Below are 14687 nucleotides of genomic sequence, written 5' to 3'. Positions count from 1 at the left end.
TACTTTAACAAGATCTCCAGGGGATCCACGTCAAAGTTTGAGATGTAGAAGTGGCACACAAAGAGCCTCAGATCATTATGTTACTTATTAAGAATTAACATCTAACCTAAGTGGACATGTATACTTACCTATCTTAATTACTTGAATTTTATGAATATAACATATATTTCCCTTGTCAGCATCTGTGGATATTCATATCCTTGACCCACTTCCTCAACTCAACTATTGAGATATTTTTACTTCCTTCATTGAAGTCTGTAATGTAGATGCTGGGGATATCTTGTGTTTTTATCCCTTTAACCACCGTAGGGAAATCTGTTCTACCCAATTTTATCCAAAACTGAGATTATTACATCTTTTCCTTCCAAGGAAAAGACCTCCTATTTTAGTCAGTTTCTGTAAGCCAATTAGTAGCTTTACATAATCCTAAAATTCTTTCTTTTTTTCTTTTTTTTTTGAGATGGGCTCTTGCTTTGTTGCCCAGGCTGGAGTGCAGTGACACAATCTCAGCTCACTACAACCTCCGCCTCCCAGGTTCAAGCGATTCTCCTGCCTCAGCCTCCTGAGTAGCTGGGATTACAGGTGCCCACTGCCATGCCTGGCTAATTTTTGTATTTTTTAGTAGAGACAGGGTTTTGCCATGTTGGCCAGGCCGGTCTCGAACTCCTGACCTCAGGTGATCCACCTGCCTCAGCCTCCCAAAGTGTTGGGATTATAGATGTGAGCCACCGCGCCTGGCCCATAATCCTAAAATACTTAAAATGACTATAGTGTAAACGGTTAGAGCTTAATTTTGAGAAGAAAGGTTTAATTTCTTTGGATGTTAACAGGTGCTATAAATTAATTAACTGGTCTGTGTTCCTGATTAATTTATCAAAGCAACTCTAAGTCAGTTTTATATGAATAACTACCTCTTTAGTGATTTAAACCTCTAACCAGATTGCAATTTAATATACAATCCATTTCAGAAATAGTCCACATTTTACTTCACCCATACAATGAGGCTCATCTCATCATATATATAATTCTTTCCTAGTTCTATATTATTTGATGCAAAGAAATCTTCATTTTGGAAGATAATTCAGAATAATCCTGTAAGAGGTAGAGTAGGTAAAATTGTCTCCATATGATAGAGGAAGAAGCCTATCTAAGATCACAGAGTGGGTATGGATAGATGAGAGAAGTCAGTTTCCTCTTGCCTGATCCTCTCAAGGAAACAAAGAGTCAGGAAAGAAAAATTGTGAGGTGGCACAAAAACCAAAATGTGCACATTGTTGAAATGGAAGAAACTGGAAAAAAGTAACCATAAATTAAAGAGACCTGCACTGCATTCACTAGTAGGAGATTATTGAGATTTAAGCACAAGTGTGTGTGTAAGTGGGGACTGCTTATATTGTAGGTCCCATTCATGTAGGAGCAAAAAATAAGATAATATAACCAATATTTAGGGGATAGAAACAGAAAAGCAACTACTATAGGCCAATGCATACACTTGAATAATCTCGAGTATCATATAATGCCAAGACATAAGAGAGAATAACTGAGTTACTGACATGGCTGAGGCAGAGGAAGAGAAGTTGATAATGGTTCATATGATTTATAAATAATATTTATTAAATGTTATATGTTTGTATTTCCAGATCATTTTTTCAGAATATTAAAAATATTTGATTCACTGAGTTTGCCTTTCCCTATACACCTGTTGAGAATAAGTTTGCTGCCTTGACACTGGGAGCCATAAGCCCAGCAGCACCACTGGGGACAGGCTGCAGGTGCCAAAAGAACATAGCACACAGAGGTAGGTGGCTGAGCCTCAGGCTGGAAGACTGAAGGGTGGAGGAAGCTCTGCCTCCTTATTAGTAAGGAGAGCTCTTACCTCTTCCTTTTCACTCCAGTTTAGATTCATTATGAACAGGATATTGGCAATCCTTCTCAGAATTTTGCTAATACCTGTTAAAGCATGAAAAGAAGCTTTGATCTTCTTTCCCCCTTTAGCGTGCAGAGATCACGAAGTCTGCTCCCTGTTGATGGGCAGAACTGCATAAGATTGTAAATTCAGGATTACTACCGAATTTACAACCTTTTTATGCCTTTCTCATAGGGAATTCTGAGTAATCCACAATGAGCGTGACTGTTTGCCCTATCCCTTAGCCTGTTGGGAAAAGTCTTTGACAGCCTCTGTGCTCACATCCAATGTGAAGCCATGAGAGCTGAACTGAGGGATCCCCAGGTCTTCTTCATCTGTCCCAGCCCAATATCCAAACTTAAGAACTGTTGAGATCTAATGCTTCAAAGAGACAGACCTGTGTATGTGATTATAAAGACAACCAAGACAAGTTCTATTCTTTGCCTAGTAATCGTTCTCACAAGCCAATTTAACTATAAATGGTATCACTATGGTCTGTGAGTGGAATCACAAACATAGCCTTCTTATCCAATATGTTATGAACTATTCATGTTAGGTGTGTATTCTAAGTGGAAGATTTCTGTTTTTCAGGTTTATGGAGTCCCCAAAATCTTTTGCAAGCCTGGGAACTCTTTCTAATTATCAAACAGCCATCCCACTCTTGGGTCTTACTAATTCTCAGAGAGTTGTCAAGAAACAACGACCTGTTCCCTGCTGCCCAGGACGCACAGACCCCTTTATTCTCTCCTGGAAAAGCCATTCTCTCTTCTATTTATACCAAAAAACCTCCTTCCACCTCTCCCACTTCCATAAACCCTATTATTCCTGAAAGAAATTAGATTTTTCAAAACAAGCCAGAAGACTCTACAGGCAAACACAGCTTTCTGTATTCCCAGGCATCATCACTTACATGTTGAAGCACAGAGACACCACCTGCTTGAAAACAGGTGAAGGAAGAAGAAACACACGGAGGACTAAAACATAAATTAAGATAACAAAGTGATAGAAAACTATATAATGTATATATAAATGTATCTATACACCTGTATAATACCTATTACATAGGTTCTCTCTTTTTTGAATAATTACTTCAATAAAAGAAGAGTTAATCTAATTTTTTCATGATTCAATTTTTAAAAAATTGTCCAATTCTATTTTTTCTTTTTTCTCATAATTTAGTTATGCTTATACATTTATCTGTACCATTTTCATGATTTCCTTAGATTTATTTCTTTCTTCTAATTACTTGAATTTCGTGCTTACTTACTTGATCTTTTTTATTTATTACTAATGAAAATGATATTAAATGATATATTTTAATATCATTATCATCATTATTATTGTAACCTGGTCCCTAGACCAAGGAAGCATATGACAGATGGGCTTTCTTATCAAAAAGAAAGAGTAAGCATTCTGTTCTTGCTAGTGTGTTTTATGTATGTTTCCTTCAACTGGCTTCCAAGGCTGCCATCCTTTTCATTTTTGTCATAGGGCTATCACACGGTAGCAGCCTCATTTGTCACTCTCATCCCTCTCAGAGCATAGTCATATACAACAGCATCTCTCTGGTCCACCCTGGGAGGTTCAGGTTGCTGGACCTTCTGTTCGGAAGAATTGACAAATTGTTTCTGTCATTTGTCACAAGAATCTTGTACCTGAAATCAGAAAATCTAGTCTTTGGAAGGGATGCTATGAGCCCCAGACTATGTTTTTGTTTGTTGCTGAGCTGGCTGTAAGATCCTGAGTGACTGCTATGACGGACTGGAGTCTGAATGCTGTTTCCAGGACTAAAGGAGAGCCATGGCATAGAGGTACTGCAGAACCTCAGTGAACATTCATCCCCAGGAGAGGAGCACAACGGGGGCCTGCCTTCCCATTCCCACTAGAATGGAAGCCATACTGGGATACTGGGATTTGTTTTCAATGAGGTCTGTGATCCCAGAGGACACATGCCCTAAAGTCTGGCACTGACTAGAGAAAAGGTAAGAAGAGAAAGATTCAGCCCTTTAGGTAATTCTTCATTCAACACACAGGTGCTTCAGAGATATACCTACTGAAGAAAGGACATTTGGAAGAAACTCAGGAAGTTCTGATGGTACTCACAGGCCTCCAACGCCCGTACATACACTCTTTCCTTAGGATCTCATGTGTTCTCTGTTGTACCTGCAGTCACAGAGCCCTAGCACAGAAATAAGGACATTTATGGGCATTCGATCTCTGTTATCTTTTCTTGCCTTGTATTTTCTGGCTCAGCTGTACATCCCATTCTGCCTTTTGCTTCTATCGCCGAGTTTTTCTACATAGTTCTTTCTAGCCTGACCCTATCAATCTGTCTGTGGTAATATGTGGACACATCAATCCTTTTTTAATTCCCACATTAAGATCTGCCAGGAAAGAGCCTGCTGCTATAGAAGGTGACAGTGGGAGAGAGAAGAGTCATGAGAAGCTGTAAGACACCGAGGTCTTAATGAAAGGAAGCTCACACAGTATAGGAGTAAACTGCCAGTCTCCCGCTTCATTTATATAAAGGCCCATCTACTGAATAATGGAAAAATCAAGCTAACTATCTTGATCTTCCCTCTTACTAACTGGATTAAATCATAGTCTTGAGAATAAAGAGAATACTTTCCACACAGTTTGTATAACAATAGAAAGAAAAATATTGTGACTCCAGTTAATAATCAGGGCTGTGTCAGGACAGAAGAGAAAGGATTTTCCATTTCATTAATACAAGGAGAAACAGCTGAAAACAACATTACATTTATAACCTTGTAGAGAGATGCGGACCAGATCTAGGGCAACAAATCAATTGAAGGTTACAGAATGTTGTTGTAGGTTCTCTTTTATCAAGTCCTGCAGCCCTAGTACAAATGGCCATCAAGGAGTATGCCTATCTGTGTGATTGAATATCTGAAGAGATAATACATGTTTGGTGGTTTCAAAGTGCTTCCCCTGGTTTCTCTCTTTTCCTCTACTTTTCTCTAGCTGCTCATCTTTTACTTCCAATATATGTATTCAAGAGAATAGATCAGTGATATCATAAGTTGAAGATATTTGGCTTAAATTTTATAGCTAGGATTTCAAAACTCAGTGTTCTTTCTCTAATGCACTAGGTTTCTGATTATGAGCAAAATTAGTTATGTTTTCTGGGCCTCCATTTCTTTACCTATAATAATTTATTAAATGTTTACATTGTGCTAGAATATGAGCTAAGCCCTTGAAAGATATTTTATTATTCGATAATTGGAACAACTGCCGACAGGATGATCATGATGATCTCCTGTAAGCAGATGATAAAATTGAAATTTAAGATGTTTGTTAACGTTTCTACTATAATTCAAATAATGACAGAGTTGAGAGTTCTACACACCCTATCCAATCCATAAACTTTTTCTTTTAAATTACTTATTATATTTCTTTTCCTAACAGAAGTTATTTCTACTTTCATGTTAGTATACTTAAATTATATAATATATGCAAAACTTTACATAATGCATGCTGCATAGTAAATACACAAACCAAAGAAGCACCAACACAAAAAGTTGAAGAGAGTACACAAGGCAGGAAAGTAAGAAATAATCCGAACTGGTTGTAGCAAATATTTTCTATGAGATTGAGCGCATTGGATTGATTTTTCTTTTTTCTTTTTAGCTTCTATACTAAAATTGATTTTTCAAAGTTAATAGACTATTTTAGAGCAGTTTTATGTTTACAGAAAAATTGAGCAGAAAGTACACAAAATTATCATATACGCCCTCTATACCTGCCCACAGGAAAAAAGTCAGATTTTTATACTGTCAAAGATCAAATAGGACACAGAAAAGCTGATTGTTCCCTCTATCATGTACCATAATGCTTCTGACACTTAAATGAGATGTCAGTGTGTTGTTACATTGTTATATTGAGAGGCATTCAGCGAAAAATAAAGCAAAAGGTGGGCACGTTGAAATGGAGAAGGGTTACACACTCCTCACATCCAGTTCATTCTGCACTTATGGACTTATTATATGTTAGTCCCAGCTAGTCCAGAACCTAGCCTGAGTCTTTCTTTATTCTATCAGCTTTCCCATTTGTTCTTAGGCTTGACCCACTGCATAACTTGAATATTCTTGTGCTTATCCCTTGAAAAGCTAAGGAAAAACATAGTGGCATAGTTCCATTTAATAATTAGTGATATCTCACCTTGTGTGAAAATACGCAGATGTATTGTAAGGTACCCTATAATGTCCTATATAATTTATAATGTATATAACGGAATTCATTTCGTGGCGAACAATCTTCATAACTGATATATTTTTTTAAAAGATGAAGGACTAAACTTATCTTGTACCCTTTCTGATATCATTACTATAATAGGAAGGCTCATAACCTCCTCCAGAACTGTGACATGTGATATAAATAGAATTAATCTCATTTTAATCTTTGAGCATAGGAGAGCAATATAAAATATGAGACATATCATTTTCCAGTTGGGTACCTGGTGCAGTAACAGCAGAAAATACTCTTCTTTGCCTGAACTCAAAAACAGAGTTTCTTGGATTGCTAGGATTATTTTTTTCTGTGCAGGACATCATCACTGGGGACACACAGAAGGAAGAAATAAAATTATTGATTTGAGCCTTTTTTCTTTTTCTAATGTAAATGTTTACTGTTATAAATTTTCTTCTAAGCATGGCTTTATGTTCTTTCTGTTGTTTACTGGAGTGTTCCATAAATGTCAATATAATAGTGTTGAGCAGGTCTGCTGCATCTTTGCTGATTCTCTAACTATAACACTTGTTCTATTATTTACTGAACACAAAGGGTTTAAGTCTCCAAGTGTAATAGCGGTTTTGTCTATTTTTCTTTTAGTTCTAACCATTTTAGCTTCAAATATTTTGAAGCTTTGTTGGTAGGTACAAGCACTTTAAACATTTTTTTAGTGAAGCAACCCTTTTATAATTATGTAATATTTCACTTTATTTCTTTAATATTTCTTTTTCTGAAGTCCCATTTGTCTGATGTTAATATAGCCCTTCCAGATTTCTTTTGATTAGTGTTTTCATGGATCTCTTTTTCCATTCTTTTACTTTTAATCTTTGTCATTGTATTTAAAGTCAGTTCATATGTAGATGGGTCTTCTTTAAGAAAAAAATCCATACTGATAATCTCTGTCTTTAAATATCTGTGTTTAGACCATTTACATTTAATGTAACTATTAATATGGTTGTATTTAAGTCTATTACTTCAGTATTCATTTTCCACTTCTGCCCTTTGTTTTGGTCTCTTATTATTCTGTTATAATGTATCTATTTGATTTTTGACTATTTCTTTTTGTATTATGTTTTTAGTGGTTTCTATTAGGATTGCCTACTACTACTATGCTTACTACTTAATCTTTCACAGTCTGTTTATATTTATTTATACTGCTTCATGAACAATATAGAAATTGTATATAGGTTACTTTACCCTCATTTCTTCATGTTATAGTTCTCAGATGCCTTCCATCTTTAGACTTTGAAAACCCCAACGGGGAATTTTATAACATTTTATTTCAACAGTCTATGCATTTTAAATAAATTAAGAAGAGAAATTATTGTGTATAATGCTTAAATTAACATGGGAATACAGATATCTATTTGAGATCCTGATTTCAATTATCTTGGATATATACCCAGAGGTAGGGTTTGGGGATTATATGGTAGTTCTATTTAAAATTTTTTGAGGAACTCCATAATGTTTTCTATAGCAGCTACACCATTTTACATTCCCAAGAACACTGTACACTGTACAAGGATTTCAGTTTTGCCACAGCCTCACCTATACTTAACTTTTTAAAAAATAATGGTCATCTTAACATTTGTGAGGTGATATCTCATTGTGGTTTTGATTTGCATTTCCCTGATGATTAGTGATACTGAATACCTTTTCATATACTTGTTCACTATTTGTCTGTCTTCTTGGGAGAAATGTCTATTTGAGTCTTTTGCCCATTTTAAACTTGTTTTTTTTTGTTACTGAGTTTTATGGTTCCTTGCATATTTTGTATATTAGCCACTTATCAATATATGGTTTGCAAATATTTCTCCCTTTCCATAAATTGCTCCATTGCTGCACAGAAGCTTTTTAGTTTGATGTAATATCATGGGTCTTTTTTTGCTTTTGTTGTCTGTGCTTTTGGTGTCATGCCCAATAAATCACTGTCATGTCCAATATTATGAAGCTTTTTCTCTACGTGTTCATCTAGTAGTTTCACACTTTCAGGTATCATGTTTAAGTCTTTAATTAATTTTGAGTAAGTTTTTGCGTATGGTGTTCAATTTTATTCTTCTGCATGTGGTATTACAATATGCAAGATATGGAAAAGAAAGATTAGTGACAAATAAATAAATAAATTGTGGTATATTCATACAATTAAACATTACTCGGCCTTGAAAAAGAAGAATATCCTGCCATTTGTGACAACACGATTGAACTTGGAGGAGATTATGCTAGGTGAAATAACCCAGTCACAGATGAACAAATAATGCATGATTACACTTATTTGAGGTATCTAAAATAGTCAAATTCATAGAAGCAGAGAATAAAATAATGGTTTCCAGGGACTGGGGGGAGGGAGAAATTGGGAGTTGTTGTTCAATGGTTTTAAAGTTTTAGTTATGTAAAAATAAGTTCTAAAGATCTGCTATACAACATAGTGTCCATAGTTAACAATACAGGCTTGAGCACTTGAAAATTTATTGAGGGTAAATCTCATGTTAATTTTTCTTACAACAATAGCAGCAGCAATAACAACAAAAACAAAGAGTCACAAGGAAACTTTTAGAGGTGACAAACATGTCTATTGCCTTGATTGTGATGATGGTTTCACGGTTGTATGCATATGTCCAAACTCATCAAATTGCATATATTAAATATGTATAGTTTTTGTATATAACTTATACCTCAGTAAAGCTGACTGTAAAAGAGAAATGGAAACTAGTTTCTTGTATCTTATCATCTATTTACTATTTCTGTTGTTCTTCCTTCGTATTTGAAGTTGCAAATTTTCCTCTGGTATCCTTTCCCTTCAGCCTGAATAACTTCCTTTAGGACTTCGTTTATAGCAGGTCTGCTCACAACGAATTCTCTCAGTTTTCCTTTCGAGAATGTCTTTACTATAATTTCTTTGTGATATTTTTACTGGTATAGAATTCAGGGTTGCCAAAGTTATTTTTCTGTTGGTGTTTTAAAAATGTAACGAGAGATACATCATGCATTCCTCTAGGTCACTGTAAGTACTTTGATGTTACTCTAAGAGAAATGGGAAGCTATTGCAAGGATTGGAGTAGATGAGTGACCTATCTATATTTGAAAGATCTCATTGGCTGCTGTATTAAGAATGTTCTGTAGGAGGACAAGCAGGGAAACCATTTGGAAGGCTACTACGGTAATTCATTGAGATGAGGGTGGCTTGACCAAAGAGATAGCAGTGGTCAAACTATGGGTCGATCTTTTAGTTAGGGCCAACTGAATTTCTTGATGGATTCAATGTGAATAGTGAAAGAAAAAATAAGAGTCAAAAATAACTCTGAGGCTATGGGCAGATTCTGAAAGAATGAGATGCTGTCGATTGAAAAACAAAAGGTAATAGAAGCAGCATGTTGGCAGTGAGAAGGAGAGGATCAGGAGTCCAGTACTGGTCACACTAATTTAAAATCTTGCACATGTACCCTAAAACTTAAAGTATAATAAAAAAAAACTTGACCCTCTTCAGTGTGGTATTTCCAAGCAGAAGGAGAACAGTCATAGAAGTCTGTCTCTTCCACATCTTGTCTGATGTGACCCAGTAGTAAAAGAAGGAACGTGATGAAGTCTCTGTTTCTTCTCTGGAGTCAAGCACTCCTCATGGCTCTGTTCTTCCACCTTTCTCACTTTCATCAAATGAGAGACCTTGCTACAAATAGGTCAGGCTGTGCCCTTGAGTTCCTGAAAACCTCAGTGTCTCAGGAAGTTTGTGTTCAGCTCCTCCTGCAGTCCCAGGCACAGTCCTCCTGTCACCCACAGCACAGAAGTACTCAGCAGCATCACTCACATGGGTTGATGGTTTCCTCAGGTAGAAGGAGGTTTCGCTCTTCTTAAATTCAGCCTCAAAACCTCTGATGCCTTTAACCTGGGTGGCCTTTGTTAGGTCTTTGAGGAGAAGCTGGAGGCTTTGGCTAGAGTATTGGACATACCAGAAGAGAGAAGGAACTCCACTATAGGAATAGTTGCACTTCAGTTCCAGAGGGGCTTCTTCAGAGACAGTGATGTGGCCATCAAGCTGGGTCACCGACTGGGTTCTGGTTCCTCCTGCAACATCAACACTCTGTTAGTGAGACCAGAACAGATCTACCTGTAATGAGACAGAGTCTCTATTTAGATTCCGATTGGAACAATGTTCCTTGTATGGAGACGGGAGCAGGGAAACAATATTATTATACTTACTCAGTGTGAAGAACATTCCAAGCAGCAGAATGACCACTAAGAGCATGGCTAGGCAGTGAGGAAGCTGAGAGCTCTATTCTAGAAGATCTCCTGAGTGGGAAGGAATGTGCCAGAGGATGGTGAGTCCCTATAATGAGGAAAATCTGGGATTCAAGAGTTCCCTGCTTAGGTAAGGCCTAGAGACCACTAGTAAGAGCTGCTCTCTTGACAACAACCACTCTGGTGTTGATCCTACTCAGAATATGCACCTCAGTGAGCTGTGAGATAAAGCCGCTCAGGAAGGACAGAACTCTTCTTAGCAGAGACATTTCCGGTCTGTGAGACATTGCCCCCTGGAGGTCAAATGTGGAAACACACTGAGTCTTTTGGGTTTGGGCTCCATTTCCTTGGTTTGAATTTCTTAGCAGAATAATCTGATGACAGTGTTTTCAGGGGTCTGCTTATGAGGAAGCTATTTTAATCTTATAAAGTAAATAATATTATTTAATCCTATGAAGTAAATACTATTATCATCGTCATTTTATAAACGGGGAAACTAAAGCATGGAAGAAAAGATTCAATTTGTCCAAGTCATAGTAAGTGATAGTGAGGTAGGTGATCCCCAAAACCAGCCCAGCAGGTTTCCTGGCTTCACACAGGAAAGAATTCATGAGTGAGCTGACAGAGCAAAGTGAAGGCAAGTGTATTGGAGCTACAGAGTACAGGAAAGTGGTTGCTCCATAGACAGAGTAATAGCAGCAGCAGTTACAGCCCTTGTGGATTGTTGGCTAGCTATATATATGGCTATTTTTTGATTATATTCTAAATAATAAATAAATTCATGAATTACCTGGAAAAGGAACCCTAAACTGAGGGTTCCTCCCCTTTTAAGCCATATAAGGTAACTTCTGGGGATTGTCATGGCATTTGTAAACTGTCATGGTGGTGGTGGGAGTTTCACTTAGCATGCAAATGTATTATAATTAGTGTATAATGAGCAGTGGGGCCAATCAGAGGTCACTTTCATCTCCATCTTGGTTTTAGCTGGTTTTGGCCACTCTCTTTGCTGCATTCTGTTTTGATCAGCTCCTGTTTTGTTCAGCAGGGTCTTGTGACCAGTGCTCAGAAAACAAGTCTGGCTGATCTGCTATCTCAACAGAATTGGAGTTTGTCTCATCAATATGATTTAATAATCCACATTATTGACCACTGATAACTATTGCACATTTTACACTATAGCCCTTTACAGTAGATCTTATCTATACTGAACAGACGGGAAATCAAGTCCTTATGAAGTTAAGTCATTTGTCCAAGGACATGCAAGGATTAGAATCCAATTCTTTTCCACTGCAAGCTCAGTTCCTTGCCCACTATGTTATCTGTGACGTAGTACTACCCTATAAGACTAGATGCAATTTTACCAAGACAAATGCTTAGAGCAAAATTTAGAAGAGAATAGGGACTTAAAAAAATCCTCAAGGAACCCAAACACTGATGGGATAGATAGTGGAAAAAGTACTAAAGAAACCTTGAAGCTGGGCGTGGTGGCTCACGCCTGTAATTCCAGCCCTTTGGGAGGCTGAGGTGGGAAGATCATCTGAGGCCAGGAAGTCAAGACCAGCCTGGTCAACATGGTGAAATCCCATCTCTACTAAAAATACAAATAATTAGCTGGGCATGGTGGCTTGTGCCTGTAGTCCCAGTTACTTGGGAGGCTGGGACATGAGAATCGCTTGAACCTGGGAGGCGGAGGTTGTAGTGAGCCAATATCGTGCCACTGCACTCCAGCCTGGGTGACAGAGTGAGACTCCATCTCAGAAAAAAAAAAAAGAAAAAGAAAAGGAAACCTCAAAGGGTATCCAGAGAGGTAAGTGGCAAATCAGAAATGGCTGGATTTCTAAAAGAGAAGGAAAAAGGAATTCTAAAAAGAAATGAATGGCTAACAGAGTGAGTGGTAAATAAATGTCTATAAGATGATAACTTTTCAATGTCTATTGATTTTTTATTGATGCGTAATAATTGTACATATTTATGAAATGCATGTGACATTTTGATACATACATACAACATGTAATTATCAAATCATGGTAATTGAGTTAACCATTGCTTCAAACATTTATTATTTCCTTGTGTTGACAACATTCCAAATCTAGCTATTTTGAAATATACAATAAATTATTGATAACTATAGTCACCATACTGTGCTACTGAACTACTGATTTTTTTAACAACACAAAAATCATGATTTTGGTCTTTTCAGCAAAAGGTCAACTGCTATGGGAAGAGGCATTGTGATGAGACAAGGAAGAAAAAATTTGAATATAGAAATCTCCTTCTAGAGGTTGCTGGATCCTCTAAAGAGGAGAAAAGAGTCATGGTGTTAACTGGATGAGGATGTTGAAGAGGTAATGGTAGGGTTTATACAAATTAGGGTATATTTACATGCTTTTGGAAAGAATGTATAAACAATGGATCAAAGTTTTGAGGAGACAGATGGGATTGGAATGTGGATTATGGGTAGAAGGACAAAGTTTTGGTAGGAGGAAAAACAGTTATTTTCAATTTTATTGAAATGAAGGAGAAAAGGATTACAGTAGTTTAGATTTAAGTGATACTTTGGAGTGTGAAGGTAGAAAGTGAAACACCTATTACCTTCTAATGGGATTTTTTTTCTTGTTATACACAGAGATTAAATGTCTCCCAAGAGAGTGAATGGAGGAGGATCTGGGTTAGGAAGTCTGAGGTATGTGAGAAGTTTTAGAAAATGGCAGTGAGATGTGATTACAGAGAAGAATACTTTCCTGGAAACATTGTGGGCCTAGTTAATTTTGAAGGTAACAACATTTATTTATTTATTTATTTATTTATTTATTTATTTATTTGAGACAGAGTCACACTCTGTTGTCTAGGCTGGAGTGCAGTGGCATGATCTCAGCTCACTGCAACCTCTGTCTTCCAGGTTCAAGCAATTCTCCTGCCTCAGCCTCCCGAATAGCTGGGATTACAGATGTGTGCCACCATGCCCGGCTAATTTTTTTGTATTTTTAGTAGAGACAGGGTTTTGCTGTGTTGGCCTGGCTGGTCTCAAATTCCTGGCCTCAAGTGATCCACCCACCTTGGCCTCCCAAAGTGCTGGGATTACAAGCATGAGCCCCTGCTCCCGGCTGGTAACAGTATGTTTTAATGACACCAATCTGCGCATCGGTGTACTCTGATCAGACAAGATATGCATTACAATAAGGAAGATACAGATTCATGATTGGGAATTAATTAGATCACTGCTATGATGCAGAATTGGGATGAGAATAATATAGTCAATGACTAAAGATTGAAAGCAACAGGTAATAGAGTATAAGCATTATAGGTAAGAAAATAAAAGATAAGAAGCTTCTGAGAAATAAGGTGAAAATAAAGGGGAACAAAGCTGGAGGCATCATATGCCCCACCTTCAAACTATACTACAAGGCTACAGTAACCAAAACAGCATGGCACTGGTACAAAAATATACACATAGACCAATGGAACAGAATAGGGAACTCAGGAATAAGGCTGCCCATCTACAACTATCTGATCTTTGACAAAGCTGACAAAAACAAGCAATGGGGAAAGGATTCCCTATTCAACAAATGGTGTTGGGATAACTGACTAGACAAATCAGAAGATTGAAATGGGACCCCTTCCTTACACTGTCTACAAAAACTAAGTCAAGATGGATTAAAGACTTAAATGTAAAACCCAAAAGTATAAAAACCTTAGAAGACAACTTAGCAATACCATTCTGGACATAGAAATGGGCAAAAATTTCATGACGAAGACACTAAATGCAATTGCAACAAAAGCAAAAATTGACAAATGGGATCTAATTAAACTAAACAGCTTCTAAACAGCAAAAGAAACTATCTACAGAGTGAACAGACAACCTACAGAATGGAAGAAAATGTTTGCGAACTATGCATCAGACAAAAGTCTAATATTCAGCATCTATAAGGAACTTAAACAAATTTACAAGAAGAAAAAACCCCAACAAAAAGTGAGCAAAGGACACGAACAGACACTTTTCAAAAGAAGTTATTATTGTTGGCTGCATGTATGTCTTACATGTATGTCTTATACATGCAGTCAACAATAATACGAAAAAAAGCTCAACTTCACTGATCGTTAGAGAAATGCAAAATAAAACCACAAAGAGATTCCATCTCACACCAGTCAGAATGGCTATGAGTAAAAAGTCAAAAAACAACAGATGCTAGCAATGTTGCAGAGAAAAAGGAACACTTATATACTGTTGGTGGGAATGTAAATTAGTTCAACCACTGTGGAAGACAGTATGCCAATTCCTTGAAGATTGAAAAACAGA

At 37.0% G+C, this 14687-nt stretch overlaps 1 gene segment (V, D, J or C) and 1 further gene, besides 4 other annotated features; both read right to left on the bottom strand.

The window, feature by feature from the left end:
• TRA (T cell receptor alpha locus) overlaps positions 1–14687 on the bottom strand; it is a 930229-nt gene that overhangs the window by 409183 nt on the left and 506359 nt on the right.
• Positions 9877–9885: a recombination feature (nonamer).
• Positions 9886–9908: a recombination feature (spacer).
• Positions 9916–10397, bottom strand: TRAV8-7 (T cell receptor alpha variable 8-7 (pseudogene)). The segment is given in 2 exon segments: positions 9916–10213; positions 10352–10397. Coding segments are annotated over 2 exon segments (344 nt in total), but the record flags the coding sequence as incomplete, so codon positions are not given.
• Positions 10206–10213: a sequence feature (TRAV8-7 leader sequence).
• Positions 10352–10397: a sequence feature (TRAV8-7 leader sequence).

This window comes from Homo sapiens, chromosome 14 (assembly GCF_000001405.40).
Source record: "Homo sapiens chromosome 14, GRCh38.p14 Primary Assembly".
In the NCBI taxonomy this organism is placed as follows: domain Eukaryota; kingdom Metazoa; phylum Chordata; class Mammalia; order Primates; family Hominidae; genus Homo; species Homo sapiens.
Note: the sequence above shows the minus strand (reverse complement) of the source record. Positions and strands in the feature narration are given on the sequence as shown.